Source organism: Homo sapiens, chromosome 15 (assembly GCF_000001405.40).
Source record: "Homo sapiens chromosome 15, GRCh38.p14 Primary Assembly".
In the NCBI taxonomy this organism is placed as follows: Eukaryota; Metazoa; Chordata; class Mammalia; order Primates; family Hominidae; genus Homo; species Homo sapiens.
The window spans coordinates 52,041,349-52,059,852 of NC_000015.10; the positions used below are offsets into that span (position 1 = coordinate 52,041,349).

Sequence of the window (18,504 nt, forward strand, 5' to 3'; positions counted from 1 at the left end):
ACCACGCCCAGCTAATTTTGTATTTTTAGTAGAGATGGGGTTTCTCCACGTTGATCAGGCTGGTCTCGAACTCTGGACCTCAGGTGATCTGCCCGCCTCAGCCTCCCAAAATGCTGGGATTACAGGCGTGAGCCACCGCGCCCGGCCTTAACTTTGCCTTTATGAAATTAAGCATGAAAGATGGTGGAGATAATGGCAATTAATAGTACACTGATGTGGATAGAGGATGCAGTGACCATCTGCTGGTCCAACTGAGTTTTATATATGCTTTAGTCAGGCCAAGGAGCTCCGTGATTGATGTGAAAGTTGGAGGTAGTTAGAGAGATCAGAATTTGGAATATACCTGCCCTAAGAGTTAAGGTGATAAGGAGGGAACAGTTTTCTTTCTAAGGTCACTAGGAGAGCATGAGAGGCCTCTGCCTTTTTTATGGCTACCAGGCACACACATCTTGACTTTCTTAATTAGGTCAGACCCCCAGTGTGCAGATTCTCAGTAGTATCTTGTAGCATTCCTTGGTACCACTTGTCCTTTCTTCATTTCTTTGTTTACTTTTCTTTTTAAAAAAATTGTTTGTCTCTAGTCACATGATAAACTCCATGAGGGCAGAGCCCAAGTCTCTCTTTACTCACCATTTTATCCCCATTGCCAAGAGATTGACTGACACAAATACTTATCAAATACCAAATAATGGAACGTGACTGAATTGGAAACACTTATTGGATCCACTGTATGATATAGAGGTACAGCATTACTCGCAGCTTACTAATTAAGGTGGGTCTGCTTTCCAAGATCCTGGCTGAAAAGGCACTCTAGCAGCATTTGGTCTAATGGATAGTGAAGGATCTTGAAGACTACTACTCACAGAGCAGTGACGCAGAATCACTGAACAAGCACTGCCATTGTAAATCTTTTTCTCCCCCAGATGTTTAACTGGTATAATCCTCATTGTCTAGTGGAATTACAGTTTGTTTTATAAATACTACCTTCTCTTGTTACAATGTATAGTCTTCATCATCTGAGCACATAGTGATGACTCTGCAGTTCTCAGTGTAGGCAAAGCTCCTACCTTCCCTAGTATCACTTTTTACCCACTCTTACCTCGTTAAGTGCTGACCAGTCACTGAGAATTCTGAAAAGGCACTCGCATCCTTGAAGTTTCTAGTTTGTGAGGCTTGGTCTCAATAAAATTTAAGGGGGGCAGATGTGGATGGGGGTCTTGAGTAAGGATCTCTCATTTTCATGGCTTTCCTAATCTGGCTACAACTCCTACTATAGTGCTATTCTGTCAGATAACAGTGGTGTAATTTTTGACAAAGCATTATTTGTGCTTGACTAGATTGCTGTGAACTAGAAGTTTGAGAGAGAACTTGGAGATCTTACTGTTCTCATTTCATTTGTCTATAGAACTGACTTTACAGTGTACATTTATCAGAAATGTAAAACATGACTGAGCTTTAAGGAATTGTCTACGTTAAGGCAAGAAGGTAAGCGTGAACAAGCATTCTATTTCAGGTAGAGACTAGAGATGTAAAATTTAGGAAATAATGGAGCCTTTGAGAAATACTGGTTTTCTTGACCAGCCTGGGAAACATAGTGAAACCCCGTCTCTTCAAAAAATACAAAAATTAGCCAGGTGTGGTGACTCCTGCCTGTAGTCCCAGCTACTTGGGGGGCTGAGGGGCTGAGGTGGGAGGATTGCTTGAGCCCAGAATGCAGAGGTTGCAGTGAGTGGTGATCACGCCACTACACTCTGGCCTGGATGACAGAGCAATACCCTGTCTCAAAAAACAAACAAACTGGTTTTCCTAGGGTATTTAGTGGGGAGCGAGCAGGAAGAATCAAGATGTGTACAAACAGAAAAAACTTGGTGGGAGGGAGACATGCAGTATTAAAGCCCTTTTTAAAAATCTGAAACTTTTTTACCAATACAAAAATTATTTTTATTTTTTATTTATTCATTTTTTTTGAGACGGAATCTTGCTCTTTTGCCCAGGCTGGAGTGCAGTGGCGTGATCTCACCTCACTGCAACCTCCACCTCCCAGGTCCAAGCGATTCTCTTGCCTCAGCCTCCCGAGTAGCTGGGATTACAGGCACCTATCACCACGCTGGGCTGATTTTTGTATTTTTAGTAGAGACGGGGTTTCTCCATGTTGGTAGGCTGATCTCGAACTCACGACCTGAGGAGATCCACCTGCCTTGGCCTCCCAAAGTGCTGGGATTACAGGCGTGAGCCACCGCGCCTGGCCACAAAAATTTATTTTTATTACTTATTTCCACTATCACATGAGCTAGATCATATAACAACATTGAAAATCCACTGGCTAAAGACCAAAGACAGACTAATGGCTCAGCTAGATAATAGCAAATGATATGTTGGACTTAAGTTGTTTGATTTTTTTTTTTTTTTTTTTTTTTTTTTTTTTTTTGAGGCAGAGTCTCGCTGTGTCCCCCAGGCTGGAGTGCAATGGCAGGATCTCGGCTCACTGCAACCTCTACCTCCCTGCAACCTCTACCTACCTGGTTCAAGCGATTATCCAGCCTTACCCTCCTGAGTAGCTGGGACTACAGGCATGCGCCACCACGCCTGGCTACTTTTTGTATTTTTAGTAGAGACGGGGTTTCACCATATTGGCCAGGCTGGTCTTGAACTCCTGACTTCGTGATCTGCCTGCCTCGGCTTCCCAAAGTGTTGGGATTACAGGCGTGAGCCACCGTGTCCGGCCTTGAGATATTTTTTTAATTCAAAAGTTTATTCACAAACTTCAACTTTTAAGTGTTTTATTACAGATAGACTGGTAAGCTACAGAATTTTTAGGACTTTTTTTTTGGGGGGGCGGGCTAGGAGGGCTGATTTCTGAGAAGCAGAGAAAAACTTGTAGACAGGAGAAGCCGTTTCTGTTACAGTAAAATAAAGCTATTATACTATTAGTATCCTTCATGATATTAAGCAGATACAAGACCCGTTCTTATTTATTAAAAGAACTGAGGGATATAGTAAGTATCAGTTTTTATTAAAGCTGTCTTTCTCCTATTGGACAATGAGTTGCGTTTACTGAGGGCCAGAATCCTTTTGCTCATATCAGGTTTGCTCCTGCCTAGCATATAGTAGTTGCTCAATATATGTTTATATATTAAACGAATAAATTGGTGGCTTTATTCTTTCTGCCTAAAATATTGTCTGGTCTTATTTGTTAGGAATTCTGACCACCTGATTTTCCATAATGCCTCATATCTGGTATTCTGGGTACTCTGCAATTAGGCCATTAAGAAACTGAAAGAACCAAGTTGCATTTTTTTTTTTCCAGGCTGGCTAGGGAACCATCTACTGGAGTTGAGGCTATTTTTTCCTGCCCTTTTATAGGATATTTTTTAAAGTATGAAATATTTTAAGTGTACAGAGATCAATATAATGAACCTTCATATACATACCACCCAGCTCTATAAGATTCTAGTAATCTGCCATGTTTGTTATTTTAAAATAAATAACACATTAAAACGCAGATAAATGATTCTGGTCTCTTTCCTTAATCTCCGGGTAATCATTATGAATTTGGTATTTGTCTCATTTTTTTTTCCTTTTTTTTTTTTTTTTAGTTTTGCAATATACATATGTACTTACCAAAAAAAACTATTTTGCATGCATATAACTACTTATCTGTTCTCCTATTTTATGAAGTTGAGGTTGTTTCTAATTTTCTTTACCAAAAAAAAATGAGCATTTCTCTAGGGAGTTTACTGTGAAGAAAAATGGCCGGGTCATAGAGTACGCTATTTATTTATTCATTTATATGTTTATGCCAAATTGCTCTGAAGTTTTTACTAATTTAAACTCCAACCACTATTGTGTGAAAGTTTGTTTTTCTACACTCCTCAGACTTGACATTAACAGAGATGCATGTTTTTTCAATCTGAAATGTTCTCTTAAGGTAATCTTTTCCTATCAGTCACATTAAATACCTTTTCATAGGTATTATTCATTGTTCAAGTTTACTCTTATAAGTTGAAGAACATTATTTGCATATTTGTGCTGTTAGATTTTTGTTCATTGGATATTGATAGGCATAGTTAATAAGTAAACATGCTTTTTAACAAACTAACACATTGCAGGCTTCTTCTATATTCTTTTAGATATTTAGATAGATGTTACTAACGTTTTACCCCTCACAAAACTCAAGTTCTATAAAAATATTATGAACCTTCCCATACTTGTTGGCATTTCAGAAATGGTACAACCTAATGAGCCTGTTACCAAGAATCTAGTGTAGTGAAATCTGGAGCCCGGGCCAACGTGTGTGAATTGCTGATAACATTTTTGTAAGCTATTTTTGATTAAGGGTAATTTGTCACTTAATGACCATAATTAAGTTTAATGTACCAGTAGTAGTTTATTGCTAAATGCCTACTTTGTGTCATACTACAAATTTGAAGAAAAGAGTATTTCCTGCAATGGTGACTCTCTTCTTTTTCTCATCCCCCCAGGTTGTATCAGAGTAAGATGGACGGTAGCTTTGATTGTGATTGTGGTGAGCTGGAGCCACCTGATCACTAACAAAAGACATCTTCTGTTAACCAACAGCCGCCAGGGCTTCCTGTTGAAATAAATATATAGCAACAAAGGAAAAAAAGAAGCAAAACGGAAATAGTGCTTACCAGCACCTTAGAATGATGCTGCTCAGGACCAGTCCAACACTGAATGTATCTGCACTGTGAGGAGAATGTTCATAGAAGCCTGTTGTGTGCATATTTATTCACATTTTTGTTAAATGTTAAATCGTTTAGCACGGTAATCTGAGTGCACAGTATGTCATTTCATTCCGTTTGAGTTTCTTGTTTTCGTTAAATGTCTGCAGAGTTGCTGCCCCTTTCTTGAACTATGAGTACTGCAATCTTTTTAATTCTCAATATGAATAGAGCTTTTTGAGCTTTAAATCTAAGGGGAACTCGACAGGCCTGTTTGGCATATGCAATGAACATCAAGAAACCATCTTGCTGTGGAAGCATAATTATTTTTCTTCTCCCTTTTTGAAAGATCTTTCCTTTTGATGCCAGTTTTCTTCCTTGTTTACACAAGTTCAATTTGAAAGGAAAAGGCAATAGTAAGGGTTTCAAAATGGCAGAGAAATTTGAAAGTCTCATGAACATTCATGGTTTTGATCTGGGTTCTAGGTATATGGACTTAAAACCATTGGGTTGTGGAGGCAATGGCTTGGTTTTTTCTGCTGTAGACAATGACTGTGACAAAAGAGTAGCCATCAAGAAAATTGTCCTTACTGATCCCCAGAGTGTCAAACATGCTCTACGTGAAATCAAAATTATTAGAAGACTTGACCATGATAACATTGTGAAAGTGTTTGAGATTCTTGGTCCCAGTGGAAGCCAATTAACAGACGATGTGGGCTCTCTTACGGAACTGAACAGTGTTTACATTGTTCAGGAGTACATGGAGACAGACTTGGCTAATGTGCTGGAGCAGGGCCCTTTACTGGAAGAGCATGCCAGGCTTTTCATGTATCAGCTGCTACGGGGGCTCAAGTATATTCACTCTGCAAATGTACTGCACAGAGATCTCAAACCAGCTAATCTTTTCATTAATACGGAAGACTTGGTGCTGAAGATAGGTGACTTTGGTCTTGCACGGATCATGGATCCTCATTATTCCCATAAGGTATGTATAGAAAGCCAGCTGAGACAGATCTTTAAACTGATACACCTAATCAGGAATAGGTACTTATATTTTCTTTGTATATTGTGGCAGAATTTTTAATCTTATTAAACTTTACATAGTGCCTTTTTTCTGAAACAAGTCTCTCTGTTTGAAATGAAGGTGGAGTGGGATAATTAAATACAAATTTCTAAAAATACATGGTTATTATAATGAAATTTTAAAGTGTATGGTTATTTATTATAAATGAAATTCTCCCTTAGTTATTTAAAAGTGGAATATACTCTTCTTTCTTTGGGACAGAATTGTGGTAAGAGGGGATGCTATTTCAACTTTAGGTCTTTTGTTTTTGAGACAGAGTCTCACTCTGTCACAAAGGGTAGAGTGCTGTGGCGCCATCTCGGCTCACTGCAACCTTCATCCCCTGGATTCAAGCGATTCTTGTACCTCAGCCTCCCAAGTAGCTGGGATTACAGGTGCGTGCCATCATGCCCAGCTAATTTTTTTGTATTTTTAGTAGACAGGGTTTCACCGTGTTGGCCAGGCTGGTCTTGAACTCCTAGCCTCCAGTGATCTGCCTGCGTCAGCCTCCCAAAATGCTAGGATTACAGGTGTGAGCCCCCATGCCCAGCCTTTTTTTTTTTTTTTTTAAGTTTTTAGTGACAAGATCTTGCTGTGTTGCTCAGGCTGGTGTCAAACTTCTGGGCTCAAGTGATCCTCTGGCCTCAGCCTCCTGAATAGCTGAGGCTAAAGGTGCATGCCAGCACACCCAAGCTTATGTCTTCTTTTGTCTCTTTGAGCCTGTACTATTCAGTTCTGCTTTGTTTAAACTAAATTTAGCTTGAAATCTAAATTCACATAAACAATTGGTAATAAGTATAGCCAAAAAGATCTCACAGCAACTTCGTCTTAGATAGCAAATTGCCTTCATACAAGAATTTAATATTTTTCAAGCTGAACCTTGGTCTTTTAGTTTGGAAATGAAATCTTATGTGGGACCCTGATGTTTAAATTAGAGAGGTGGAGCTGCTTTGGTTGTAAAGAACCCCTGGGAGCCCTGCTTTGTTAGCTTTCCACAGTACATGCCTAAGACAAATCTTCATACATGTTGTTTCACGTTAAGATTATTTTTATTTTTATTTATTTATTTTTTTGAGACTGAGTTGTGCTCTTGTCACCAAGGCTGGAGTGCAATAGTGTGATCTCAGCTCATTGCAACCTCCGCCTCCTGGGTTCAAGCAGTTCTCCTGCCTCAGCCTCCCAAGTAGCTGGGATTACAGGCGCCCGCCACCACGCCCAGCCCACATTAAGGTATTTTTACTTGGGCCAGGTACAGTGGCTCACACCTGTAATCTCAGCACTTTGGGAGGCTGAGGCAGGCGGATCACCTGAGGTCAGGAGTTTGAGACCAGCCTGACAACATGGTGAAACCCTGTCTCTCCTAAAAATACAAAATTAGCTGTGCCTGGTGGTGCATGTCTGTAATTCCAGCTACTCGGGAGGCTGAAGCAGGAGAATCCAGGAGGTGGAGGTTGCAAAGAGCTGAGATTGCGCCAATGCACTCCAGCCTGGGCAACAGGAGCAAAACTCCATTTCCAAACAAAAAAGATATTTTGTAGAAAATGAGTTCTAGGCTGGAAGCGCGGTGGCCCCTGCCTGTAATCTCAGCACTTTAGGAGGCCGGGGCAGGAGGATCACTTGAGGCCAGGAGTTTGAGACCAACCTGCGCAGTGGCTCCTGCCTGTAATCTCAGCACTTTAGGAGGCCGGGGCAGGAGGATCACTTGAGGCCAGGAGTTTGAGACCAACCTGGGCAACACAGACAACTTTTTTTTCCTAGAGAAAAAGAAAAAGAGATGAGTATTACACTGACGACGTCCACAGTGAAATATTGTGGGTAGAGCACTGTATCCACAGTGAAGTATTGTGGATAGAGCACTGAACTAATAAGACTTATACTATATAAAATTGACTCCATTTCTACATCCAACTAGCTATATGACTTGAAGCAGATCTCACTCTCTCAGTCATCACACCTATAAAATGGAGTTAATATCTACCATCACAATCTCTCAGGGTAGTTTTGAGGATGAAATAAGGCAATATATGTGTAAGGTTTTGTAAGGTGCTTTGTAATTGTAAAGTAGTTGAATAGGTGATGAATAGGATTTATAGTAGAGGTCATTAAGGAGGTAGACATTGGTTTATAAGTAGCACCTCTGGTGCTCTTCCCTACTGTTCTGACTTGAAGCATACTTGCTCTTTGATTATCTCAAGACTGAGTGTAAACCAGCTCGTCTTCTGAAAAATGCTTTGAATGTGTGGCCTAGAGTTATATAATTTTTTTTTTTTTTTTTTTTTTTTTAAAGACAGGGTCTTGCTCTTTGCTCACTGCAACCTCTGTCTCCTGCGCTTAAGTGATCCTCCCACCTCAGCCTCCCAAGTAACTGGGACTACAGGCGTGTGCCACCATGCCAGGCTAATTCTTGTATTTTTAGTAGAGGCAGAGTTTTACCATGTTGCCCAGGCTGGTCTCAAATTCCTGACCTCAAGTGATCCACCTACCTCGGCCTCCCAAAGTGCTGGGGTTAAAGATTAGGATTTTTTTTTTTTTTTTTTTGAGATGGAGTTTAGCTCTTGTTGCCCAGGGCGGAGTGCAGTGGCACAATCTCGGCTCACCGCAACCTCTACCTCCCGGGTTCGAGCGATTCTCCTGGCTCAGCCTCCCAAGTAGCTGGGTTTACAGGCATGCACCACCACACCTGGCTAATTTTGTATTTTTAGTAGAGATGGGGTTTCTCCGGTTGGTCAGACTGGTCTCGAACTCCCGACCTTGGGTGATCCGCCCACCTTGGTTTCCCAAAATGCTGGGATTACAGGCATGAGCCACCACGCCTGGCAAATTAAGGATTCTTTAATCAAGTTGTAAGTACTGTTCTTCAGCTAAAGTAAAAAAAGTATGTTTTTTGTTTCTTTTATAGGGTCATCTTTCTGAAGGATTGGTTACTAAATGGTACAGATCTCCACGTCTTTTACTTTCTCCTAATAATTATACTAAAGCCATTGACATGTGGGCTGCAGGCTGCATCTTTGCTGAAATGCTGACTGGTAAAACCCTTTTTGCAGGTTAGTATTTTGTGGGGGGAAAAATTTTCCCAAAGAGAAGTAATTTTGCATTTTATCTCTGAAGCAAGATTCATATAAGATTTAAAATAATTTGTTATGATCTGTAATACTAAAATGAACAGATAAATTGGCGTTTTTAATAAAAAAATTGAGAAAACTTATTCACATATTCACTAAATTGGTCACTTCATAAATTATCAGAACTCCTGTTTAAATATAATTTCATATTTTGTGGACCCATAATACTTGTTGGTAATTTGTGTTGATACTTAAGTTGCATAATTCTGTCAGTATCATCACTTCCTGGTGAAAATTTTAAGCCATTGTTGAAAATCCAACAAATTTTTCTTGGTCCCCTCCCCCTATAAACAACCAAACAAGTAATTTTTTGTTAAGTTTGGTGCTATTTAGAAGTCTAAAGAAGTGTGTGAGAGAGGACTTTGTCAAGATGAGATGAGTAATCCATGAAAAATGTCTTGTGTCATAAAGCAAAGCATAGGTCTGTATAAAATTATTTAGTATAGACTAGAGCTGTAAACTTAGAGAAGCTATGCATCAGTGATTGCTGGAATGGAAGGCATTATGGAGTCAAACAGATTTTTCACTATTTAGAAGTAGCGAAGAATTTTAATTGGGGAAGAGAGAAAATGTGTTATTTAAGGGTACCCATATAAATAAGAGTATAAGCCTGGTGCATTCATGAATCTGAGATTTGTGCAAGTTGTCAAATAATAATAAACATATTTATGACTAGTTAAGATGGGGTCGGAATACTAGAAAGTATTTAGAAAGTAGGCAGAGGACTTTCCATATGGAAAAGTAAGGAATAGTAGGGGTACTGAAGATTTTTTAGTTGGGGAAGTGGTGTGATAGTGATTAAGGCCTTTTTCTGTCTTTTGACATAACTTTTTCCCCCTCTATACCCATTTTTTTTTTCTGAGACGGAGTCTTGCTCTGTCACCCAGGCTGGAGTGCAGTGGTGCGATTTCTGCTCACTGCAAGCTCCGCCTCCCAGGTTCACACCATTCTCCTGCCTCAGCCTCCCGAGTAGCTGGGACTACAGGCGCCCGCCCCGTCGCCCGGCTAATTTTTTGTATTTTTAGTGGAGATAGGGTTTTACCATGTTAGCCAGGATGGTCTCGATCTCCTGACCTCGTGATCCACCCGCCTCGGCCTCCCAAAGTACTGGGATTACAGGCGTGAGCCACCCCACCAGGCCCTCCATACCCATTTTTAGAGTGGTTCCCCCCAACCCCCAGACGGTGCTAAGAGCAGAAGGAAAGGAATAGGCCAGAGTCTATTTACATAAGAAAGATTAGTGTACATAGGAGAGCACTGGTGAAGAAAGGACAGCGTGCATAAATGTCTTTTAAGTATGTTAATGCCAGTACTTAGTTTATATAACAGCAAGCCAGCTCTTTATAATTTTTTTCTAATATTTATCTAAAATTTCTGTCTGGGCTCAGTGTCTCACGCCTGTAATCCCAGCACTTTGGGAGGCTGCAGCGGGCAGATCACTTGAGGTCAGGAGTTTGAGACCAGGCTTGCCAACATGGTGAAACCCTGTCTCTACTAAAAATACAAAAATTAGCTGGGCATGGTGGCGCACGCCTGTAATCCCAGCTACTGGGGAGGCTGAGGCACGATAATCGCTTGAACCTGGGAGGCAGAGGTTGCAGTGAGCTGGGATCGCGCCATTGCACTCCAGCCTGGGCGACAGAGACTCTGTCTCAAAAAAAAAAAAAAAAAATTTCTAAGATGTATGATAGTTTTCTAAATTGGAATTCGGAGGGATTCCTGGAAACTAAATTATTAAATGGATTGATTTTTGCTTAGGAACAATACTGTGATTAGAGGTTATGTTCCTGATATCAAGTGCCTTCCAGCATATATAAACAATTCTGTTTGTTGCGGTGTGACAAATTACTCCAAAACTTAGTAGCTTAAACAACAAACATTTATTAACGTTTTACAGTTTCTGTGTGTCAAAATATGGGAGTGGTTTAGCTGGGTGGTTCTAGCTTATGTTTTCTCAGTCAAGATGTTGGTAAGGGCAGCAGTTACCCTGAAGTCTTGACCAAGGCAGGAGGATCCACTTCTAGATAGCTTACTTACATGACAGTTACCAAGAGGCTTCGGTTCCTCACCATGTGGGCTTCTCCATAGGACTGCTTGAGTGTCTTCATAATATGGTGGCTGGCTTCCTCTAGAACCAGTGATCCAAAAGACAGCAAGGAGAAAGCCAGTATATCTTTCTTTAAAAAGTTGTATTGTTATATAATTCACATATCATACAATTTATTTAAATAATATAGTTCCATATTTTTTAGTATATTTACAGAGTTGTGTAACCATTACCACAATCTAATTTTGGAACACTGTCTTGGCTCCTGAAAGATCCTGCAAACCATTAGCAGTCACTTCTCATTTCCTCTTTCCCCCAGCCCCTGGCATCCACTAATCTACTTTATGTCTCTATGGATTTGCCTACTCTGGTTGTTTCAGATAACATTTGGACTTTGTGACAGGCTTCTTTCATGTAGCAATATTTTGGAGGTTTACCCATGTTGTGGCATATGTTAGTACTTTTTTCCTTTTTACGGGCAAATAGTATTCTGCTATATGGATATACCACATGCTGTTTATCCATTCCTCAGTTGATGGACATTTGGGTTTCCACTTCTTGGTTATGAATTATGCTGTTGTAAATATTTGCGTACAAGTTTTTGTGTGAAAATATGTTTTCAGTTCTCTTGGGTATATATACCTAGGAGTGGAATTGCTGAGCTGTGTGGTAACTGTTTAACTTTTTGAAGAACAGTTTCCCAGCGCAGCTGTACCATTTTACATTCCCACCACCAATGCATGAGAGTTAAATTTTGTCTTTTTGAGTATAGCCATCCTATCGGGTATGAAGTAGTATCTCATTGTGGTTTTTTTTTTTTTTTTTTTTGAGACAGAGTCTTGCTTTGTCATCCAGGCTGGAATGCAGTGGTGTGATCTTGGCTCACTGCAACCACTGCCACCCAGGTTCAAACAGTTCTCCTGCTCTCAGCCTCCCGAGTAGCTGGGATTACAAAGGCTTGTGCCACCACGCCCAGCTAATTTTTGTGTTTTTAGTAGAGACGGGGTTTCACCATGTTGGCCAGGCTGGTCTCGAACTCCTAACCTGAAGTGATCTGCCCGCCTTGGCCTCCCAAAGTGCAAGGATTACAGGTGGGAGCCATTGCACCCGGCCTCATTGTGGTTTTGATTTGCATTTCCCTAATAACTAATGGATGATTGAATGTCTGTCCAGATCTATTGCCCATTTTTTAAATTGGGTTGTCTTTTTATTATTGAGTTGTAAGAATTCTTTACATAATTCTGAATACAAATATTTTGTGATTTACATGTATTTTCTCCTATTCTGCAGTTTTTTTTCCCTTTCTTTATAGTGTCTTTTGAAACAAGATTGATTGATTGGTTGATTGATTGATTGATTGATTGGTTGATTGATTGATTGATTGATTGATTTTTTAAGACAGAGTCTTGCTCTCTTGCCTGGGCTGGAGTACAGTGGCATGATCTCGGCTCACTGCAGTCTCTCCCTCCTGGGTTCAAGCAATTCTCCTCCCTCAGCCTCCTGAGTAGCTGGGATTACAGGCACATACCACTATGCCCAGCTGATTTTTGTATTTTTAGTAGAGACGGGGTTCACCACGTTGGTCAGGCTGATCTCGAACTCCTGACCTCATGATCCACTCGCCTCAGCCTCCCAAAGTGCTGGGATTACAGGTGTGAGCCACTATGCCAGGCCTGAAACAAGATTTTAATTCTGAAGTCCAGTTACCTTTTTCTTTTGTCTCTTTTGTTTTTGGTGTCATGTCTGAGGAATAATTGCCTGACCCAAGGTCATGGATGTTTTCTCCTGTGTTGTCTTCTGAGAGTTTTATAGGATTCTTATACAGCTGGGCGCGGTGGCTCACACCTGTAATCCCAGCGCTTTGGGATGCGGAGGCAAGTGGATCACCTGAGATCAGGAGTTTGAGAACAGCCTGGCCAACATGGTGAAACCCTGTCTCTACTAAAAATACAAAAATTAGCTGGGCATGGTGGCGCGCACCTACAATCCCAGCTACTCGGGAGGCTGAGGCAGGAGAATTGCTTGAACCTGGGAGGTGGAGGTTGCAGTGAGCCGAGATCTTGCCACTGCACTCCAGCCTGGCCAACAGAGCGAGACTCTGTATTGGGGGTGGGTGGGACGGGAAGGGATTAACTTTTACACATTCTTTTGCATGTGGACATCCTCTTGTCCTGGCACCATTTGTTGAAAAGATTCTTTCCCCACTGAATTATCTTGACACTTTCATAAAGAATCAGTTGACCACACATGTAAAATATCTTTTTGTGACCAAGTCTCAAAAGTTACATACTGTCAACTTTAGCTTTATGTGTTAGAAGTGAGTCACTAAGTACGCTTCATGGTCAATGGGAGCGGAGTTCAGTTCCACCCTTTAAAGGGAGGAGTATCAAAAGAATTTTTGGACCTTTTTTTTTCATTTTTTACCTTCTCGAATGAACAAGGGTAAAGTGTACATACATATATCTATACACACACACACACACACACATATACACATACATAGATACACACATACATATATATATAATTTTTTTTTTCCGAGACTGAGTCTTCCTCTTGTTGCCTAGCCAACAATCGTACAATGGTGCGATCTTGGCTCACTGCAACCTCCGCCTCCCAGGTTCAAGCGACTCTCCTGCCTCAGCCTCTCAAGTAGCTGGGATTACAGGCATCTGCCACCACACCCAGCTAACTTTTGTATTTTTAGTAGTTTCACCCTTTTGGCCAGGCCGGTCTCAAATTCCTGACCTCAGGTGATCTGTGTGCCTTGGCCTCCCACAGTGCTGGGATTACAGGCAAGAGCCACCGTGTCCGGCCAAGTGGACACATTTTAAAGCCACCACAGTAACGAGTCAGAAAAACAAGCCAGGTGTGGTGGCTAATACATGTAATCCCAGCACTTTTGGAGGCTGAGACCAGAGGATCACTTGAGCCCAGGAGTTAGAGACCAGCCTGGGCAGCATAGTGAGACCCTGTCTCGACAAAAAACAAAAATGTAGCTGGGTGTGGTGGCACACACCTGTGGTCCCAGCTATTCAAGGGGCTCAGGTGGGAGGATTGCTTGAGCCCGGCAGGTCAAGGCTACAGTGAGCTGTGATCATGCCACTTACTCCAGCCTGAGCAACAGAGCAAGACTTTGTCTTAGAACAAAAACAAATTTAAGTCTATATAATGAAAAATCATTTGGTCATGCTCCAAGTCATAGAAGTGAGTCAGTACCTACTGCTGCTGCATGGATTATACAAAGGGTTTTTTTGTTTGTTTGTTTGTTTTGGAGGAGTCTCGCTCTGTCGCCTAGGCTGGAGTGCAGTTGCATGAGCTCAGCTAACTGAAACCTCCTCCTCCCGGGTTCAAGCGATTCTCCTGCCTCAGCCTCCCGAGTAGCTGGGACTATAGGTGCATGCCTCCATGCCCGGCTAATTTTTGAAATTTTAGTAGAGACAGGATTTCACCATATTGGTCAGGTTGGTGTTGAACTCCTGACCTCAGGTCATTACCTGCCTCAGCCTTCCAAAGTGCTGGGATTACAGGTGTGAGCCACTGCTCTCGGCTGTATTTGTGTATTTTTAAATGTTTGTTTTTAAATGTTCAATGCACATTCGGACATTAAATATAGGAATAAAAATAATTGGATTTGTTTTAAAACTCTTAAGTAGCATAGTTTTACATTTAATAGGAATAGTTTGCAATGAAATGATTGGAAAGATCTAGATTGTAGTTTGTTTCTAGTTGCCAGGTGCTTTATTGATTTTTGTCAGTGACCCATTCAATAAAAACACGAAGGGAAATCTGAGTGGTTATTAATTAGGTATAAGTTGCAAATGAACAGAGCAACAAAAGGTAAGGACCAAGCACTCATTGGAAATCAGTGTGTTTTTAGCCTGTGTGTCTTATTTTTTGGTGCATTTCTCTTGTGTGTCCAGATTGTCTCTCTATAGGTGTTCCTGTCCCAGGTTAACACTTGTACTTGGGCAGTAGATATTTTCCCTCTTTCCTGCTGTAGCACTTCTATCTCTTGCATCTTCACTTTACCTCTTCTGCTAGATCACTTTTATCAGTATTCATTCAAACATTGATAGAATTTTTCCAGTCTTACAAAATAATCTGTCCTGACCCCACAGTCCCTCAGCTACTGCCACATACTACTGTACTCGTTGGATGTAAAACTTCTCAAAAGATGCGTGCATCCTTGCTGCTCTTAATTCCTCTGCTTACATTCTGTCTTTCACCCTGTCCAGTCAGGCTTTGTCCTCCACCAGAAACCACTCTCCACAGGTCACCAGTGATCTCCATAATGCTAAATCCCTTGTCAATTCTAAGTCCTCATTTTGAGCCATCTCCAGCATTTGTTGCAATTGATCTTCACCTCTTCAGGTGCTTTTTCACCTGTCTTTGGGCACGCCACTCTTGAATTCTTCCCTGGCCTCTTTCCAGTCACCCTTGCCAGTTCTCTTTCTCCTCGTGTTGGAAGTATCCCAGATTCAGTCCTTGGGCTCCCTGCTTCTCTAGCTTCACTTAGTCCCTGGGTAGTCTCATTCTTTTTCATTCCTTTAAGAATTATCTATATCTGATGATGACTCCTGAATTTATGATGACTCCTGAATTTATATCTTCAGCCCTGACCTCTCGTCTGAATTCCAGGTTCCTTAACTCAATATCTCCACTCAGATGTCTAATAACAAAGTTAACCTACCCAGAACTGGGCCCCTGATATTTCTTCCTCATACGTTGTTTTTACTCATGTTAGCAAACCAGTACCTCCATTTTTCAGTTGCTTAGACAAAAATCTTGTCATTGTCCTTCATTTCTGTTAGCACAGATCCTGTGGGCTCTTTCTTCAAACTATATCCAGACTCTTAACGGCTTGTTACTGTCACTCTTACTATCCCTCCCCCGGTCCAGTCAGCCATTATGTCTCTCCTGTTAGAAGGACCTTCTCTTTCCTGCTTCAGTATTTGCTGTCTTTAGTTACCACATCGCAGCCAGGGTGGTCCTGTTGAAAGACAAGGTAGATCATGTCATCTCTGCTCAAACTGCATGATGGCTTTCCATCAAACTCAGGGTAAAGCAAACCCTTTGTTCTAGTACCACTCTGACTTATCTCCCATTATCTGCCCCAAGCTACTCTCCTTTTGCTACACTTGTCTAATTGTTGTTTCTTTGACATACCAACCTGCCTCTGTCTTCTGGGCTTCTCTCCATCTTCCTAGAACTCCTTTCTTTCTTCCATATGAATGTTTGGTGTATTCCTGACTTCCTTAATTTTCCACTTCTTAGTGAGGCCTTCCTTTGTCTCAAAAAAAAAAAAATGTCTTATTGTTGCCCAGGCTAGAGTGCAGTGACATGATCTTGGCTTACTGCAACCTCCTCCTCCAGGGTCCAAGCAATTCTTGTGCTTCAGCCTCCCAAGTAGCTGGAACTATAGGCATGCGCCTTGCCTGGCTAATTTTTGTATTTTTGGTAGAGATGGGGTTTTACCATGTTGGCCAGGCTGGTCTCGAACTCTTGACTTTAAAAAAGTATTAACAACCCTATTCTTCCCAACAGTGCCATCACCCTTAGCTTACTCTCTTTTTCTTTATAGCATATGTCACCATAAGACCTACTTTACAGAATTATCTGTCTTTATCCACAAGATTGTAAGATCCATGAAGGCAGGCACTTGGTCTGTTTTGTTTCATAACTGTATTCTCAAGTGTCCTGCGCATAGTAGGAACTAAAAGGAATTTTGAATGTTCAATGAATTTATAGACATTAAAGGAAAGGCAAGTGGAATTTTTATTTTTTGTTTTTGAGACAGGGTCTCACTCTGTCATCCATGCTGGAGTACAGCAAATGGAATTTTTAAAAGTCACCACCTATTTAGCCTAAAGTTTCCCCCTTTATTTCTTTCATTGCCTAACAACCTAGAAATGCTAACTGAGCCCTAACATAGAACTATAAAACTTCCTGTTTTACAAGTCTAGTCCAACCCTTCATTTCATTGATGTTGAAATAAAGTCCTAAGAGATGTTAGCTATTGTCTCTGAAGTTATAGCCAGTAAATTAGTGGTACAGTTAAGACCAGAATCCAGATCTCTTGAATCTCAGTTGCTTTTTTTTTCACTAGTTTGTGATAACCTTAATATGAGACCAAACTTAAAGAGTCAGTTCCCTATGGAAACAAAGCAGCAAAAACTAAATACATCAGTAAGCAGAAATTGAAATAGATAAGTAGATTGGTGATAGTCAAAGCAATGAAACCTGCTGATGATACAATTCAAACTTTTCCCCCCACTGGTCATTATAATATTTAAATTAGTTTAGTATGTTTATTGTGAAATAAGTAAACATTGAGGAATGTGTTTTTTTGTTTGTTTTTTAACCTCAGGTGCACATGAACTTGAACAGATGCAGCTGATTTTAGAATCTATTCCTGTTGTACATGAGGAAGATCGTCAGGAGCTTCTCAGCGTAATTCCAGTTTACATTAGAAATGACATGACTGAGCCACACAAACCTTTAACTCAGCTGCTTCCAGGAATTAGTCGAGAAGGTATTGTGACTCGAGAGTAACCCTCACGTTAATGCCTGTGTGTGAGGCAGAATCTGTGTAGGGAAGCTGGAGCTTTTTATCCTTAGATATGGGGCTTTCTCCAAAATAGTCTTTAGACACTTAAGGTGTACGTAAAACTTCAACTCTCATTTTCCCTTTTTTTGTCCTGTTACTTGGGCTACGATCTGTTTTTTTGGTTCCTCTGAATCACTTTCCAGAGCAAGTAGCAAGTATTTTGAATATAGGCACTGGGGACAAAATCATGATGGCATTTTTTCCCTCAGATATACTTGGAACTCCTGTAAATGCCTGGATAAAAAGAAAGCTGCTGTATTTAATTTCAGCCGGTTTTGCAGGCTTTTCAGTAGTTCCACATTCTTAATCAGTCTTTGAGTCTGTCTGCACAAATTCCATTGCTAGCTCCCTTGCTCGTAACCCTGTAGCCACTGTCACAACATCCCTGTTCATATCTAAATGAGTCCTCTGTGGGAACACTTTATTTTTATTTTTTATTGAAAAATAGAGACAGAGTCTTCCCTGGGCTGGTCTTGAACTCCTGAGCTCAAGCAGCCTTTCTGCCTCAGCCTCCCACAGTGGTAGTATTACAGGTGTAAGCCACCACACCTGGCCAAGGAGCACTTTTAAAATGCTGAACTAGTAATTCTGAATTGGGAGGTGGAGTGGGGAACAGGGTGGGTGTCTGCATACCCTCTCTAAGGTGTGACTCTGCTCAGCCAGGTGAAGACACTGTGTGCAGTGATAACCTGGATCCACTTCAGAGTAGTTGTCACTAATCAAGAGGACGGTGCTGTTGAAGCATTTGTAACCTTGCTGTATAATGCTATTTGAATCTTTTTCGTACCCTCATTAGGGTGGGGACCATGTTTTAATCTTTGAATTAAACTGAATATTTGGCCACTGACTGGGGTTTATTAACCATTGAGCAAAGATCCTTGGTGGTCACATGTGGCAGCACTGTGCTTGCAAGCAAGTGAATGCAGAGTGGATGGAGTTTCTGAGACTAAAGATTTATCAATTGTATGCTCCATACTACT

The 18,504-nt window shown here is 41.0% G+C and overlaps 1 protein-coding gene and 1 long non-coding RNA gene across 14 annotated transcripts in view, besides 1 other annotated feature; one reads left to right on the forward strand and one right to left on the reverse strand.

Moving 5' to 3' along the window:
* The window catches only part of MAPK6 (mitogen-activated protein kinase 6), a 95,551-nt gene that overhangs the window by 69,524 nt on the left and 7,523 nt on the right, over positions 1 to 18,504 (forward strand). For 7 of the 13 annotated variants that reach the window (XM_047432852.1, XM_047432853.1, XM_005254537.4 and 4 more), the window contains 3 exons: positions 4,482 to 5,667; positions 8,645 to 8,789; positions 17,285 to 17,449. In XM_047432852.1, the coding sequence (XP_047288808.1) occupies positions 5,113 to 5,667; positions 8,645 to 8,789; positions 17,285 to 17,449 (865 nt within the window). In that variant the 5' untranslated portion in view covers positions 4,482 to 5,112. Of the gene's footprint in view, positions 1 to 1,405; positions 1,486 to 2,429; positions 4,317 to 4,481; positions 5,668 to 8,644; positions 8,795 to 17,284; positions 17,450 to 18,504 lie in introns of those variants that run through there. The other 6 variants (XM_011521782.2, XM_047432847.1, XM_047432849.1 and 3 more) reach the window with 4 other exon arrangements.
* Positions 11,710 to 11,910: a silencer, noted in NCBI's record as "peak2339 fragment used in MPRA reporter construct". NCBI's record gives its function as "represses an SCP1 promoter by STARR-seq MPRAs in K562 erythroleukemia cells {active_cell/tissue: K562}" and the evidence as "EXISTENCE:reporter gene assay evidence [ECO:0000049][PMID:32103011]".
* The window catches only part of LOC112268150 (uncharacterized), a 44,564-nt gene continuing 40,692 nt past the window's right edge, over positions 14,633 to 18,504 (reverse strand). Inside the window, exon 2 of the long non-coding RNA XR_002957719.2 lies at positions 14,633 to 15,907. This is a non-coding gene — a long non-coding RNA (uncharacterized LOC112268150). The remainder of the gene's footprint in view (positions 15,908 to 18,504) is intronic.